Below are 17,512 nucleotides of genomic sequence, written 5' to 3'. Positions count from 1 at the left end.
CTCCTGCCTCTGTCTCCCTAAGAGTTGGAATCACAGGCGTGAGCCACCATGCCTAGCTGTTTTTACTTTTGTATATAGGAGCATTATCTAAGTTGTCTACCCACTAGAATTCTTGTGACAATGGAGAAATAACATATATTTGTAAATTTTAACATTACACAGTGCCGAATAATTTTCTATTTATATTTTTCTTGCCTTAAAAAATAAACGACTTTTGTTCCTAGATATAGCTTGTTGTTATAAATAAGAAATATAGAAGTAATAAAGTTCCAGATTGGCTCAAAATTTTGAACAAAGGTAATGCCAAAAATTTGATCATTATGACATTCAATAAAAGCATTGACATCAGAAGGCCTATCTACATTAATTCTTTTAAATAGAGTCAGTTACATAGAACTATATATATAAACTGTAATATAGATCAGTTATATATACATTTTGATACACATCTTTGACATTGTAGACTAGTTGAACACCAAAACAAGGAACTAGACCTATAAAATGAAAGGATTAATGGAGCAGCAACTATTACAGAACACATTCCATAAGAAATTTCCCACCCAATGGAGGAAAATTGGTTCTGGTAACTTCCATAGTGGTTCATTTTCATTCTTCTTTAAACCCTACAAAGTATTATATGATGTTTCCATTAAAGTGCACAGGTGTAAAATCTCACAGCATTATGGCTCAATTTATGCTGCATTTAGTGGTTTGTTCTTTTTCCTCTTTTCCTCATAGATATTTCACATAAAAAACATGAAGTTTAGGAAGTTAATGAAAATACTTTCTAAAGATTGGCAGTATTTTATAATACATTCTAAGTGCTCGATGCCAATATCAATGAAGTCAACATATCCTGAAGTAGGATGATCATCTAATCTAAATATTTAAGAAAATGTCAATATATGTTTTTACTATCATATGTGTAAGTTGAAAATTAATTAGTTACCTGCTAACAAGTTAAGTTAATTGATATTATTGCAAATTGATCTTGACAGATGTAGACTAACTTTCTAATACCATATTTATGTCATCAGGTGAGAAGGAATAAGATGATTATACAAAATCTGGTTTTCTTTTTTTCTTTAATTTGCGTTTGTATTCCTAACTCTGGTAATGGAACTATTGGAACATTCCTGCACAGTGATGCTCTTGTGAAATGAAGAAAAAATTCCACTTACTTTTTATAAAATATAACAACCTAGAAAACATGTATAGTCTCATTTTGCTTTGTTGCTGCTATTACCAGTGCCATAAACTGAATGGAATTATTTTATATGTTTGGATTTGTAATACATAGGCAAACCTAAAATAGCAACAATAAATATGATAATTGTAGCAGAATTAAGAAAAAAAAAGTGAAAAGAATGTTTTTCCAAAATTAACTTCCAGCTGTAACACTAAAGGCAAGTGAAACTCCCAAACATAACACAAAAAGAAAGCCACTAATCATGTAGGTATATTGCTGTGAATAATCTGTCAGAATCTTTTTCTCCGCATAATAATAATGTCGAGTAGATTTATGGAAATAAAAGAACAAGTAAAATATGTTATCATTAACAGTGAGGGGATAATCATGGGTTAAATGCTTTCTGTGGGTGAAATGCCACATACTCCAGAGAAATGACTCACCACTCTTGCTGTTTCTAGAAGATGATGATTCATCGGCTCCACTTACTTTACAAACAGAGAAAATAAAGAAAGAGAAGGAAAGAAAAAAGACAGTTAAAATCAATCTCTATATGTTACGTTTTTCACAGCATGTTTATTTTCACTCATTTGGTTTAGAATCTGATAGTGAAGAGGAAACAAAACAAAACAAGGAGAGGAAATATGGAGTCTCTCACATACATCTCATTGTGCATAAGACTCTTGCAAAATATCTGATCTTAGTAAGCTGTCCCCTCATCCTTTACATTTAACTCTATCTAAGCATTACTTGTTATATGGAAGAAAGAGTATATTCTGAATGATCAAGAACAGCATTTCACAGATATTCCAAAATCTCCCCACAGCTTCCTCATACCCCCTATCCACAGCCAACAAAAATCATTATTTTAGTGTGTGTTTCTCATGTGTCCCCAGGTCAAAGCATTTTGAGGGCTAACATTCTAAATGTTTTCCCTTTGCCTCTAAACATGGCAAATAATTATCACACACACACTGAGTTATTGAGATTATTATTATTATTATTCCTCAGTTATTCACATGAATTAAAGACAGAATTTTTTTTCAAATTTTACTCTTTCAGGTTAATGAAGTAGTCATGTGGGTAGCTAGAGCCAAAGGGAGGTACCTTTGTTGGACTTCACTTAGGGAAAAAGATCTTACCTCCCTGCCTCTCTATATTTCCTTTTGTGGGTGGAAAATCTTAGAGAAGATAAAAACTCAAATTTGGTGGTGGCTTAGTATCTATTACTGTGTGACTTAGGAAAAGTCAGCGAATGACTTGGTGATTCAACTAGTATACTTCCAACATCAGGATCATGCTAGGATTAGTAATTTTGTATTGCACAAGTTATTTTGTTTAATCCCTGAGTATAGTATCCATATCCCTCTCTATATTATTCGAAAGTAAGAGAATAAGACCTTGTCACATTCGCTATAATAACAAATTTTACTTCAATAATTTTCAAGAAGTTTTGCAGAAGGAAAATGAAGATATGTGTTAAGGTCAAAAGGTCAAACTCTGCTTTCTAGGTTCCAGCTGTTTTAAAATAGTCTGGCAGTTTCTTACAAAGATAAACAGAGTCTTACAATGCAATCCAGCAATTGTGCTCCTAGATATTTACCCAAATGAGTTAGGAAACATGTTTACACAAAAACCTGCACATGTATGCTTATAGCAGTTTATTCATAATTACCAGAAATTGGAAGCAGCTGAGATATTTTTCAAGAGGTAAGTGAATACATGGACTATAGTACGTTTATGTAATGGACTATTACTCAATGATAAAAAGAAATGCTTTTAAACCAGGAAAAGAAATGAAGGAATCATAAATGAGTATCGCTAAGTAAAGGAAGACAGTATGAAAAGGCTATGTCTGTTTCATTCCAATGAGATGCATTCTGGAGAAGGCAAACTATAGAGAAAGTAAAAAGATCAATGGTTGCCAGGAGTTGGTGGCAGGGAGGAGTAATAAATAAGAGACTTTTAGGGAAGTGGGCTGGGCATGGTGGCTCACACCTGTAATCCCAGCACTTTGGGAGGCCGAGGCGGCGGATCATCAGGTCAGGAGTTCAAGACCAGCCTGACCAACATGATGAAACCCCATCTACTAAAATACAAAAAAAAATTAGCTGGGCGTGGTGGTGCACGCCTGTGGTCCCAGCTACTCAGAAGGCTGAGGCAGGAGAATCACTTGAACCTGGGAAGCAGAGGTTAAAGTGAGCCAAGATTGCCCCATTGTATTCCAGCCTAGGCAACAGAGCGAGACTATGTCTCAAAAAAAAAAAAAAAAAAAAGAGATTTTTAGGGAAGTGAAACTATTCTGTATGATACTGTAATGGTGTATGCATACATTATGGATTTGGCAAAACACATAGAAATGTATAACATGAAGAGTAGGCCCTAATGTAAACTATGGCAATTAGCTAATAATAATGTATCAATATTGGTTCACCAATATAACAAATGGACCACATCAATCCAAAATATTAGTAACAGGGGAAACTAAGAGCAGCGGGAAATTGAGTATATGAGAATTCTCTGTACTTTCTGCTCAATTTTTCTGTAAACCTAAAATTTCTCTAAAAACTAGAGTCTATTATGAAAAAAAGGAACTTCATTTGATTATATACTTTCTAAGATATACCAGGACCATATAATTTCTAATATAATAATTCAAAAATTCTTATGTAATCAGAACACAAAAAATACAGCAAGTCTTCACATAATCATTGCCAACTCCATGGATTTATGACACGAACCAAAGATTAATATCCTTAAATTTAATAATGACTTTTTTTCAATTTCTATTTTAACTCAATAGGTTTAAAAAGTGATTTAAAACAATTCTTTAAACTAGCATAGTTAAACAAAAACTGGATCTTTATACTATCTTAAAAAATAAAAAAACATGGATCTGGATGGATCTGGAATTAAAATGGGAGTAAATATATAAAACAAACAATAAACTTTACAAGATATTCTGTAAATATCTTGTAGCTAAATTTGTAATGAAAGTTTTCCAGACCAAGCCACAATAAATGTTTGCTTTGCATTGGTTGGGGTGATTTTGGTTAACTTTATCATAAATAGATTATTATCCAATAGAAAAATGAAATTTTCTTTCAAAGAGAAACTTGATAAATCCTAAATCTCATTTTCTCATTTACAAGTCAAATATGGTTATACTTTGTTAAAAGTAACTTGCAAAAGATCACTATTCAGGATAATCTATTCTGAGAATAACATTTATAATCTCTGTGGTGGGAGACTAATCTGTGGCTTAAAACCTGTTATTATAAAAGAAATGAGAGGTGTTTTTAATATAGGCAAATAAAAATCCTCAAGTGGAAAAAATAAGCAAAATCAGTAGATTCTTACAAAAACTTCATATTTCCTTACATGCACTAACAAAGTGTTACTATCTACAGTGTACCAGGAGCTCTTATCAATTGTAAAGCAAGCAATCCAAACAACAAAAATGGATGAAACCTGAGTACAGTCAAATGCCTCCGAGTCAGCAGATATGCAAATCCAAATTGCCAAACAAACAGTAAAAGTTGTTCAAATTTACACTGGTGAGGGAAATACTGTTTAAAGAAATGACAGTATATGGATATATACCCATCAGGGTGGTGATGACCTCAAATTTTCTGTAACACCTTTACCAGCAATAAATGGTATTAGAAAAGGATACACTCATATATTGCTGGTGCTTGTTTGCTTGTTGGTTTGAAAGTCATTTGGCAGCAACTATTAAAATAAAAAACACACAGAATAAGATAATTAAGAGGGGCAGAAAGCAAGCCAAGATAATGTAATCCTGATGACGCAACTGCAGGTGAAAGTGTCAGGAAGAAAGCTGTGAAAAACATTGCAAAAGGATACAAAATGGTCACTTAGAAAGAGGCTCCAAAAGGAAGTCATTTAGAAATGGCTCTTGTACTTGGAAATTAAGAAAGAGGTGGTGGCCTTAAGGATAAGGGGTTTTGGAAACACAGTGGAGAGAAATTGGTTTGAGAAGACCATAGGAGCTGAGGATATGGAGTTAAGTGTAGGCAACTCTTAGACATACACGCTTTCACTAAATGGTGGAAAACCGAAAGAGAGTAACAAGATATTAATTGTGAGGTAGCATTGGGAAATCTGAACGTGTTCTCAGGTAGACCATGAGGAGCTATAGAAGAAGAGTGAAGCCACAGGAAACAAACAAACTAACAAAAAACAGCATAGTTGATGAAATAAGCTTCCAGAATATTTGGGAGAACAGGTGAACCAGTACAAGGAAAGAGTTACTAGCCTTTGAGATGAGGGCCATTCCTTGCACTGAGGATCTCCTCATATCTTCCTTTCCTGGTTGAAGATTTAATAGGAAGAAAGAGATGAACCCCTAGTCCTCTAGTGGGACAAATACAGTAATGCTGAGGGGCAGAGACTAAGAAACAGCACTGACAAGAATTTTCGAAGGGAAGATGATGTGAAGACATAGGGAGAAGACAGCCATCCACAGCCAAGGAGAGAGGCCTGGGGCAGATATTTCCCGCATGGCCTCAAAAGGAACCAACACTGCTAACTCCCTGATAATGGACTTGTAGCTTCCAGAACTGTGAGGAAATAAATTTCTGTTAATTAAGCCACCCGATCTGTGTAGAGTTGGGTCTACACACTCGTGTAGACTTAAGGGAGGCAATGGATGGGCCAGAATGTCTCTTTCATGAAGCAGCAGTGCACCTACAAATCTAAAGATCACCAAAAAGTCCCTTGATGTGCACCTCCAAGAACATGCAGAATTGGTTACAGTTGAAGTGAAAAGACACCTATTTTGCACTAACCATAGTTTAAAGGTAACAATGCTTAAATTTTGCAACAACACATCTTTTTTTTTCTACATGCATAATGATAGCAAGGGATATAAGACAAATTTTAATAACCAAATAATTTAAAATAAAATGTCTTGCAATGTCGTAATTGTACAGAAATATTAGAAGTGACACTTGTGTAGCTAGTTAGTATACAAAAATCATCCTCTTAACTTTTCAAGTATTTGTATTTTTTATATATCTATACAATTATGGAAGGCCACAAAACTGCCATAAAAAAGGGTAAAAATATAACATAAGAAGGGGGATAACCTGCACACTTTACATAACTATGATCATCTTTAAGCTCAAAGCCAAACATGCAAATTCTAACATTTTCCCTAAATCTGATACATAACCAGGAGTCCTTTGGAGAGACTAAAAATAAGCAAAATGTGAAAAAGAAACAATTCTAAATTCCACATGTAATAGCCAGATTCAGAAGAACTCCAAGAAATTTAAATTCAGCTAATGGGTTTACAGTGGTCAATCCAGAGAATTAAAGATTCTTAGGCTCCATCAAAAACTCCTTTTCCTATTTGAAACTGTATCCTGTTGCCTGGTTAAGGTTTGGCATTTTTAAAGAGGCTGTGGCAGGTGCTTATAATATGCACATTGTAGTTTTATTTCCATCTGGGTGAACAAGAAGTCAGCTGCCTGGAGCTGAGACTTATTTGCTTATGGACACAGGTAAATTTGCTTAAAGTGTTCTAAATGTAAAGAGAATAAGGCTTAGTTGGGTGAAGGGGGAGCACCAAAAACTCACTGGGATTAGAAATGATGGGTTAGGCAAATATTTTCATAGTATTTGATATTTGCAATATGGAAATGAAATGCAGATCAGAACTGCCTCATGGACTTCTTAAAATACAGTGTTTCCTAAACTTCCTTTAAACTGAAACATCTAAGTTACATTTCTATGCAGCTTGAATGTACTAAATTTAATATAACTATGAGATAGTTTTTAAAACTCTATAGACAGTGTTTTGTTAAAAATAAGTACTGCATTGAGGAGAACTATTGTATAGTGAATGTCACTAACAGAAAAAAAGTGTTTCTGGGAAAATTAATGAAGAACCCATTTTGCAAACAAAGTTGCTTTTGCAGAAGAAGTTTCAAGAGTTCAGGATATCTAACTGTGGTCTGATGAATCATGACTTTAGAATTTGCCCGGAAGTAGGGAATTAGGGGAGAAAGATTGTCAGGGGATTGCATAATCCTCCCTGAAGCTAAGTAATGGGAAGATAGTACCATTTCTTTTCTTGAAATACCTGTATATTTTTAAACAGGCAGGTCAACTTTAACTTGGCAGATGCTTTAAATTGAAATATGAGATCTTTAGAAAAAGAAGAAAACAAAAGAGGTGTTTTCAAATTACTCATTTCACTTCAAAAAAAAAATGGTAGAAAAACCACATTTTTCCCAAAGGAGGGGACACTTAGAATTGCTTACACTACTTGTCTTGAAGATCTTGCGTTGCTTAATAAATTAAAGTTATTTCAGCTATTGAGACATTATTTCTACTGGTCTTACAGAGGCTCAGAAGACTTTCAAACTGATTTCTGGGGCAAGGCTTTCTCTGAGTTTGAGCTCTCTCTGTTGAAATCCTATTCACATTTTTAAGACCCATCTCAAAAGCCAGTCCTCCACAGTATAATTTCAAATCTTTATAAAAAGGAGTGGTGCTTCTCTAAAAAGCATACTGCACACTGGTTGGATCTTGAATACTAAGTCATTTTACTTGACTTTGTAGTGTACTTGTTTTTATATTGTATCCCTCCCCTCCTAGACTGTTTCTTTACTACTCATTCATATTCATACCTGATCTTTTTCACAGGGCTTTGCACATTGTAGGTGCACACACAAAATACTCTACATTTATTCAATTATTTAGCAAAGTGATTCAACCGTAGCCAGTAACTATGTGTTAGCTCTCCAAAAAAAAAAAAATATTAGCAATCACACATAATAAGTGCTATTCCAGGCACTAGGGATTCTGTGACTGAACAAGACAAAAAGTCTACTACCCTCACAAAACTTACATTCTAGTGATATAAGTTGTTGTTGCTTATGTAAAAAAAAAAAAAAAAAAAAAAGCTTAATCTTCATCTTATAGGATTTCCATAGTCTACTCATAAGTAGTGCAGATTTTGAAACAGTACTTTTGCCTTAAGCGGTAATTGCAGCCAACAGATCATAAATAGAAGAGTGTCTCATCTTCTTACAAGCATAGCCAATATCTTTAATTAAAAAAAAAAAAAAAAAAAAAGCCAGGCGCAGTGGCTCACGCCTGTAATCCCAGCACTTTGGGAGGCTGAGGTGGGCTGATCACGAGGTCGGGAGATGGAGACCATCCTGGCTAACACGGTGAAACCCCGTCTCTACTGAAAAGACAAAAAATTAGCCGGGCGTAGTGGCGGGCGCCTGTAGTCCCAGCTACTTGGGAGGCTGAGGCAGGAGAATGGCGTGAACCCAGGAGGCGGAGCTTGCAGTGAGCTGAGATCCCGCCACTGCACTCCAGCCTGGGAGACAGAGCGAGACTCCGTCTCAAAAAAAAAGAAAAAAGAAAAAAAAAAGCAGAATGGACTGATAACATTAAAGGCAGTCATGATTAGACCTTTGAAGGCATCCAAATTTAATATCTGCCCCTCGTGGCCATGTTGTGATGGGATTACACGCATCCATTAATATTGTGGGCCCCAAAGGCCTGTGAAAAAGGGGGCCTTGGAAACGCCGTTATCAGTGTTGTGTTTAAGAGTGAAAGTCAAATTGCGGAGGAATAACTCATCCTACCTGGGCCAATGAAACCAGGGGCACAGAGCAGGGACATCAGAAGATAATTCAACTAAATCCAGCTGTAGTAGCTGTCAACAGCAGAGGACAGGGCGCCAGACTCCACAATGTATGTAAAAGGCTGGGAGGGGGCAGATGGTGATAATTACTGACATTTATTGAGCTCTCACAATGGGCTGGGCTATATAGCAAGTAGGCTTTACTGAAGGACAGGGTAGAGAAATAGGTTCAAAATGGGCTCCGGAGAGCTTGGCAAGGTAAGCAACGCAGGGTCCTCAGCAACTCTCCCGGGAAAAGTGCCCTGTAAGCAAGGGCAACTTTACAACCAGCATGTCTCAATTTTACTGATTAATCGTTCCTTAATATAAATAAGATCTATGGTGTCAATCGAGAAAAATGAGGAGACAAGTCTCAATCATTTTAGGTTTATTTGCCAAAGTTAAGGATGTGCGTCCATGACACAGCCTCAGGAGGTCCTGATGACATGTGCCCAAGGTGGTCAGGGCACAGCTTGGTTTTATACATTTTAGGGAGACATGAGACATCAATCAATGTATGTAAGAACTGCATTGGGTCCTTCCAGAAAGGTGGGGACAACTCAAAGCAGGGAGGGGGGCTTCCAGGTCACAGGTAGGTGAAAAACAAATGGTTGCATTCTTCGAGTTTCTGATAAGCCTTTCCAAAGGAGGCAATCAGAATACACAACTATCTCAGAGAGCAGATGACTTGAATAGAATGGGAGGAAGGTTTGTCCTGAGCAGTTCCCAGCTTGACTTTTCCCTTAGCTTAGTAATTTGGGGGCCCCAAGATTTTCCTTTCACAGTAGTATTATTGATTTGTATTTTTAAATATAAATTCCCCAGATTAGTCAGGGTTACTAGCATAGAAGCTGAATTGCAACAAATTTAGTCAGAAAGGGGGAAATGTACTGGAAAATTACTGGAGTATATTTTGTAACTCCACATTTAGACTTGGCTCTCAGACTCTTTTGGAACCAGGAATTTGAATCTTGCTAGAAGTTTCTTTTTCTTTCTCTTATCTCTGCATTTATCAGACTAGTTTTTCTCATCATGGTAGCAACATGACAGCCAACATTCTTATCCTTACATCTCGCAGCTTCTTTATGAGGCAAGCATTGTTTCTTCCCCTGTTTGAGAAAATTAAAGTAAAAATCCTGTGCATGTGTATTGATTGATCTAGCTTGAGTCAGTGGTCTATACCTAAAACAATCCACTGAGGACATAGAGTTGATGATTGTGATGGGAAGACCTCAATAGAACCACGTGATTTGTTTTACCTAGAAGAAGATAAGGCTGTTCTTAACATCAGGGAGGAATACTTCTTAGACAAAATAATGGAAGTCGACAACATTCTTTCAGAAATGACATCCACTCACTGTCTTACTTGGAATCTCCAGTTTTATTATCTGAAAAGATTTCAAATCCGTAAAGTTTTATCTAAAATAAATTGTCTATATTTTCTTCCTGGTATTCCTAAAAAACATTATTCTGTAATCTAAGCAGTGAACTATGGTTAAAATGGAATTTCGAAAGAACATAAAAAGTAAGTACATTACTTCCATTGGGTAGCAACAGACACAGAATAAAGTCTTTTGTTGGTACTGACTTAATCTAAAAAAAAAATCTTACTATCAGCATAAATACCACCTCACGACTATTCCAGCACTAAAAGTAATTGGCTTAATTCTTTATGCATGTGATGTTTTTGCAAAAGTGGTGAATCATGTAACTACTTGTCATAATCAACTATAACATGACAAAATTTGAAAATATAAATAAGGCCTATCTTTTTATAATGCTCATAAATCCTCATTTTGTTTCATTTATACCTATTCTATATGAAATATCATGAAGTTAGGCAACCATAGTTTATTTTATGACAATGTACAACCATGAATGTGATCTTTTTGTGAGTCTTTCATTTTTGTTAACGCTGAACATAGCCCTTTTCATTTGTATAGCACTTCACTATTTATGAAGTCCCATTATATAAATTTCTCATTTTGTCATGGTTGACTGCCAGGTACTTTTTAAAGCCCAGCTCAATCATAACATAATGTAAAATACCATTTGGGCTAGATTGATGGACTTTGAATAAGGTGTGCTTCTTTGAATAACTATGGCTACTGAGAATCAGAAACAAAATAAAGATTAGATCTGAATTTTTATGACCTTCCATAAAATGTACATTCAACTAGATAGCCCCCCAAAGGTAGCAAATTTGAGAGGAGAACTTATTAAAATTATGTTCAGTTGGAAATTTCGTGACTGGTTTTGAAGATTTCTCCAGTCTCTACCAGTTTACTGCTTAGTTTGGAGGTCCATTTGTAGTCAGAGAAGATGAGGAGTGTCCAATTAAAGGTTGCAATCTACCTCAAAGTTCTAGAAGGTCCATAGAGACATAAAGTATATAGAGACAGAGAGTACTTGGGAATGTCCATTTTTTTACGCTTAGGAAAAGGACCATTTCTCATCTGGAAACTGAGATTTATGTTCAGCGGAGTTCTTATAATCTACACTTAAGTCAATAGTGTATTTACCGAAGGTATTAATTCAAATCACTTTTTGGTTATAACTCTAACCAATATATATGTCATTGATGGCTCCAAAAGAAGGTTTGATTCAGGTTTTAGACAATAGAACGAAATTGCCCTAAGCCTTGGCAGATCGGTATGCAATATTACATTTATATTTTCTTCAAGAGAAAAACAAAATCTAAATCAAAAACATTCATTTTAAGAAATCAGGAAGACATTGTTCCATTAAAATATAATGTATTCTTTCTATGAAGACTGGCACCTTGCTTTTCTTTCTTTTCACATATTACTGAGAACATTAATCAATATCCTCCAATTTAAATCAATATTAAAATCTTCTTTCTCTCCTAATAGTTGATCTTGTCTTATTATTTTTTTGCTGCCTGAAATAATGATTCTCTTTCACATATATCCATTGCACTGGTATAAAGGGAATTATGATTTCAGAATTATGGTTCTACCTAAAACTGGATGTATGTATGTGTGTGCATGTATTCTATCAATGCTGAAAATGTACATAAAAATATGTATAGCAAAACAATAAAATCTTTCCTACTTCTAATTTGTCAGTTTAAGCAAACACCATGTTCTTTAGGAGCCTGTTTTCCTAGCTCTGTACCTATTTTCAAATGAAATCATGTTTTCCAGGTACAGGGAGTAACTATTTCCATCATTTCTAAGAACACAGAACACAAAATTCATAAAGTACAAATAAAAGTTTCTTCACGTGTCTTAGTATCTAAACAGAACTAAAAATGGGAAGACAGCATATTTAATTTCTTTCTTCCTTTTCAATTTGCAGTTAAGGCTAAAATGGTGATGACTTGTCTTTTCCCTTCCCATTCTGTACCCTCAGCTTCACATATATCCTCAGCCTAATGAAACCAGTTTCTCTACAATTTTCAAAATGCTCTTGACTCTCATTTATGCACAATTGCTCATCCTGTTCCCAGTAAATATGGTCCTCTCATTTTTCTATAAATTTTTGCATTTATGAAAGCCCAGTTGCAACTCACATGATATATTTCTTAACTTTCTCATTCAGTTTTTTGAGTAACCTTATTCTTATTTATATTAATATTTAATGCTTCCATATTCTTAGAAACTTCATTAGAGCATCTGACGTGTTTTTAATGCCTCTTTGAACCTCAGAACTATCATGTTGGAAATTATTACCATTTCCATTTTTCTGATGATAAACAAGAACTGAAACTCACAGAATTTTAGACTTTCTTCCCTAAAGGCAAAGTGAATTAAATGACATATCTGAACTAAGGCTAGTTTGCTTATGACTTCAAATGACATGTCTACCTACCACATAGAGCCATGCTCAATATATAATAGGTATTTAAATTAATTGTTATTCATGCATTCCCATTCAGAATTAGGGGGAAAAATGAACGTATAACTATGACTTAAGAGGAATTACACTGAAGTTTTCCTTAGTGAATTTAATGTGAATATATAGTTATTTGTGTGATTAAGTCCGTGTAATTAGGAGTTTAATGTGTGTATCCCCAACAGACTATAAATTCATTTGTTTCTTATTGGTCCCATTTCCTAGCACAGTGCCTGGCTCATAATAGGCACTTAACAAATGCTTGTTAAATTAATAATGAGTGATGAGGTGCCTCTATATTAGAATGAGCTTATGTGTCCAAGGAGTTCTTTAATAATAAATAGAGAGGGCAATCTTTTTTACTTTTCAGCATTGGAAAGTTGGTAATATTTCTCTTACAGTAGCCCAAAAGGATATGTGCAAGGAGAACTTGAGCAGAATAAAGCTGAGCCGATACTGACCTGTTCCATATTTCAACACAAGTCCCATGATTGAGCAACAGATACAGAAGATTAATATCTGTGAAATCAATTCTAGTTTCAGTATCTGCATTCTAACATTCTTTTTCCCCCTTTCTTCATCTTAAAATGAAATCCTTCACTGCTGATAATATGATGACAATAATGAAGAATGGCTTTCTTGTTTAATAACATGTTGCGAGTATGTCCTTAACAAACAAAATTCAAAGTGAACAAAATGGAATTTATAATGATCTCATTGTAAGGAACAATAAATATTACTTGGGTATAATTTTAAAAACCGGTTGGAGGTGGTAGGGTTGTTGGGGGTAAGAACATATTAAGGATGAAGCTAAGTAAGAGAATCAAAGATAAAAGCATTGTTAATACCTCACTGACTTGGATAAGTTCCTGAGTAAATACTTTACGAGAGGCCAGTGCAGAGCTACTTGAAGTCAAATGAGTAAGGAGAGAATTCAATCCATCCTGGTAAAACTGAATTAACACTCTTTGTTTCTTTAATGCATTGGCTATTGCTAATATTTCTAATCAATCAACAGTGTTCTTGTGCCCATGACTCTGAAACTCTGAAACATAAAACTTTGCAGGGCATTACGCCCAGGTGGCAAGAGGCAAGGTAATGATGTCATTGTGTTTATTTATGGTTGACTGACTAGCTGATTCTTTGTGGATTAAGAATGAAGCTCAACAGATCCCACCCTCTAGTGTACACTCTGCCACATACTGAGATCTTTCAGGCAAGCTTGAACTTCTCTGAAAAGACCAGCGGCCCTATGACTATCCCTGGCAACTTTCAGGATTTAAGTAACTCTCATTGTCTAAGATTTTTACACTCTTCGGGAGCATAAATGTTTTACCTACTGTAACAAGGTTTGGCCATTTAAATTACAAAACTGAATTGGTATTGTTCTGCTATAGTACAGACAAATATATGTGAATGTGTATGCATGGTGTGCATTTAGCATTCATTCAATGTCAAGGTTCGTGGAAGAAGTAAATTATGTTTTCTCAATATTTTTGGCCAAGTGATAATTTGCAGTATTAAATTTGGAAAAAAATGTTTAAACACATGGAAGTAATAGACTCTGCTACTGGACCTGAATCAAGGAGACAACAGTTATGACAATATGTTCCTTCTACTCTGATTCTTGCATAGAAGCCTCATTGGCACTTTGCTGAGCATTACTGTAGAGATTTTTCTAACAATAATAAAGCAAATTTTGATTCAGAAAGATAAATCTAATTACAATCACTATTCAATTTAAGGCCATTTTATATTGAAAATGCAGTGCCAAAAATGTACTAATTAGAACTAGTAAAAATTTAGTAATAATTCACTATATAAGACATATCAAATGGAGGGTTTCAACCTACTTTCTTAGTTGAATAAAATACATGTATTTATAGGTGTGTGTTTATCTTTGAGTATAGATAGATAAATTTGTCTTCATGCCGACATTTAGGTCATGGTGCCACTAAAGTATGTAACTGACCACATGGAACTTTGTCTTCTGACTGCTTGATTCTTGATCTGGTACAAAACCACTCTGAGGCCAAAGACATTGATAAGTGCCTAGCATTTTCCTCTCAAATATGTAATTACAAAGTATTTTAAATAAAAGAGAAAGAAGTGAAATCCTATCTGCTACAACAGTCAAGAGTGAAACTTCCCATTGGTTTAACACTTTAGTGCTTATAAAACTCTTCCATGTATATTTATTTCATCTTCATAATTGTATTGTGGGAAGGTGACATGATCATTACACACACACACACACACAAACACACACTGTGTGTCTCACTCTGTTGCCCAGGCTGTAGTGCAGTGGTGTGATCATAGTTCACCACAAGCACATGTTACCCACACCAGGCATATGTTTAGTTTTTTATAGAGAAGAGATCTTGTTATGTGGCTCACGTGGGTCTTGAACTCCTAGGCTCAGATGATCCTTCCCCCTTGTCCTCCCAAAGTACTGGGATTCCAAGTGTGAGCCACCACACTTGGCCCATTGTACATATTTCAAACTGAAGCCCAGTGAATTTTGGATTTAGCTAAAGCCAGTGATTGCTAAATAAAGACGTTGCCACTTGAATCTAGATCTTTTACCTTCTTTGAGTGAAGGGTTCTTTATGCCAGATCATGATGCCCAGCTTGCCTTTGACATTTGGAGGCATAAAATTATCCAAAATTCTACCTGGAAGGCAAAATTTTGGATTTATAATAAAATCAAATAGAGGCCAAAATATGAGGACTTCAGTGTCTATGAACCCATATACAGCTACATTTTAGTGCTGAAAAATCACCCATGAACTCCTATATGTATAATCCCATAGAACTACAAGTATCCCCTTTGTTTCTCCATTTTGGGAGTGTGTGAGAACCTCAGAACTACACTTTTGCTTCTAACTACTACATCATTACTCAGTTTCCTGTATAATTCTTGAAAAACCAGCTATTCTGGAGTTAGCACTCATAGTGTGTTCATACTTTTCAAATTTTTTTCCTTTTCAAAACTTTTATTCTTCTCAGTAATTTTTCATACCTGACAGTTGAGACAAAGCTAAGTGATGAAATAATGAGACAGTTCAACTTACTCATTGTCTTTATAATGAAATGAATGCAATGCAAAGGCATTGTGTGTGCCTGGTTTTTGTCCATTTATGATCTTTTCTCAGGGTTGATTATTCTTGAACTCTTTTTCATAATTTTCTTTAATATAGTCTCTGAAATTCTTTCAGTTCTTGAATTAGCTTTTATCCTTCAGTTCTTATGTTTAAACCTTTTTTTCATTATTTCTTAGCCTCTATTCACTAGAAGTCATTGACTATAAATAAATGCTTAGATTCCAATTTTTTAAAAGTACTTTGGAAAAATAAATAAGCTGATTCTCTAGGCAACTTATTTTGTATTTCAAACAAATTTACACTCCTTAGAAAATTGCCAGATGTAAGTTATATTGATTACAGAAAATGTAATACAAAATGCTTTTTTCTATCTTCAAAACAAACCAAGCAGAAAAATATTAAAGCATGAATTAAGTCAACTGGATAGATATTAAGACTTACTCTGATCTCACACGTTTTAGAAAGTAATCAAATTCAATACACTTCTAAATACTCTGCCATTCTGTGTCTAAAATGTATTTAAATAATTGTTGACACTATTGGTTGAAATTCACGTCTTATTTATCTTTCTAGAAATTTAAAAAATTTTATAACATAAAATACTTTGCTTACATCAATGATATGAATGTACAATTTAGAGAAAATATGAAAAATTATATTGTAAAAACACTGCTAATTGTGAAGATCAAAACATAATTTATTTGATTTTCAGCTTTCTTAGGCTAATAATCATACATTTCAAATAATTCTTCAAGATGAGAGCTCCCAGAGAAAAAAGAAACTTTATATTTTCTACAGATCTGGACTTAAAAAATGAAATAAATTATTTTTAAAAATAACAACGACAACAAAACCCTAGGAAACACTGTATTTCTTCTTCAGGAAATAAATTTGAGAAATTAAAAAACAACAAATCTAACAAAAATAGTTCATCACTTTCAAATAAGAGGCGATTTGGAAACTTCTAATGGGCCACGGACAGGTTTCTTTTCCTGTGTGCTGAATTTATATTTTAGCACAATTTCAATAAAAAGAGCAACACAATTAAGAAATGTTCCAGGAAATACCTCTTGCCATTTGACACAATACATGGCTGATTCTAGGATGCATGACTCCTCTCTGAAAGCATGGAGGGGACATATGTGGAAACACAGAGAGTATCAATCTGAGAGTACTTTTTGAAAGAATCCCGATTGTGAACCATTACCTCAGGTGTCATAAACACCCAAGGCTGCTTTGTTGAGCAAGAGGTGGAATATCTTCTGGGTACAGAAGCTGGGGCTTGGCTTGCTACAACTGGCTCATCAGGGTGGGGCCATAATAGTCAACCAAGGAAAACACTACGTCACATGGAAAATGCAAACATCAAGCCAGTTGTTGGCCAGAGTTCTGAACATCTTACTGAGAAAGAAATGTCCTGGCTCACTGTGGTGTGTACAGTGTGAATGAAAATGTTCAGCAAGGGAGCTAATTTGCATTGGCACTATGTCAGTTTCATATATTGGGGACAGAATTTTAAATATAGAGGCTACTCTATTCCTTTACTGGTTTGTTTACAGGATTAGGTATACAAAAGAATTCATTCATCCAGTAACTTTACCTGAGTTTGTGTAATGAAACCTTGAATCATCAAGTTTTTTTAAAATTAAACTTAACAAAACTTTCATTGAAAATGAAAATTAAGGCCAGGCG

The 17,512-nt window shown here is 34.8% G+C and overlaps 2 annotated features.

The window, feature by feature from the left end:
• Nucleotides 1,487-1,737: a transcriptional cis regulatory region, noted in NCBI's record as "candidate enhancer chr9.872 targeted for multiplex CRISPR interference". NCBI's record gives its function as "positively regulates ANXA1 gene expression in K562 cells {active_cell/tissue: K562}" and the evidence as "EXISTENCE:mutant phenotype evidence [ECO:0000015][PMID:30612741]".
• Nucleotides 7,062-7,366: a transcriptional cis regulatory region, noted in NCBI's record as "candidate enhancer chr9.871 targeted for multiplex CRISPR interference". NCBI's record gives its function as "positively regulates ANXA1 gene expression with high confidence in K562 cells {active_cell/tissue: K562}" and the evidence as "EXISTENCE:mutant phenotype evidence [ECO:0000015][PMID:30612741]".

Source organism: Homo sapiens, chromosome 9, assembly GCF_000001405.40.
Source record: "Homo sapiens chromosome 9, GRCh38.p14 Primary Assembly".
NCBI classification, from domain to species: Eukaryota; Metazoa; Chordata; class Mammalia; order Primates; family Hominidae; genus Homo; species Homo sapiens.
Note: the sequence above shows the minus strand (reverse complement) of the source record. Positions and strands in the feature narration are given on the sequence as shown.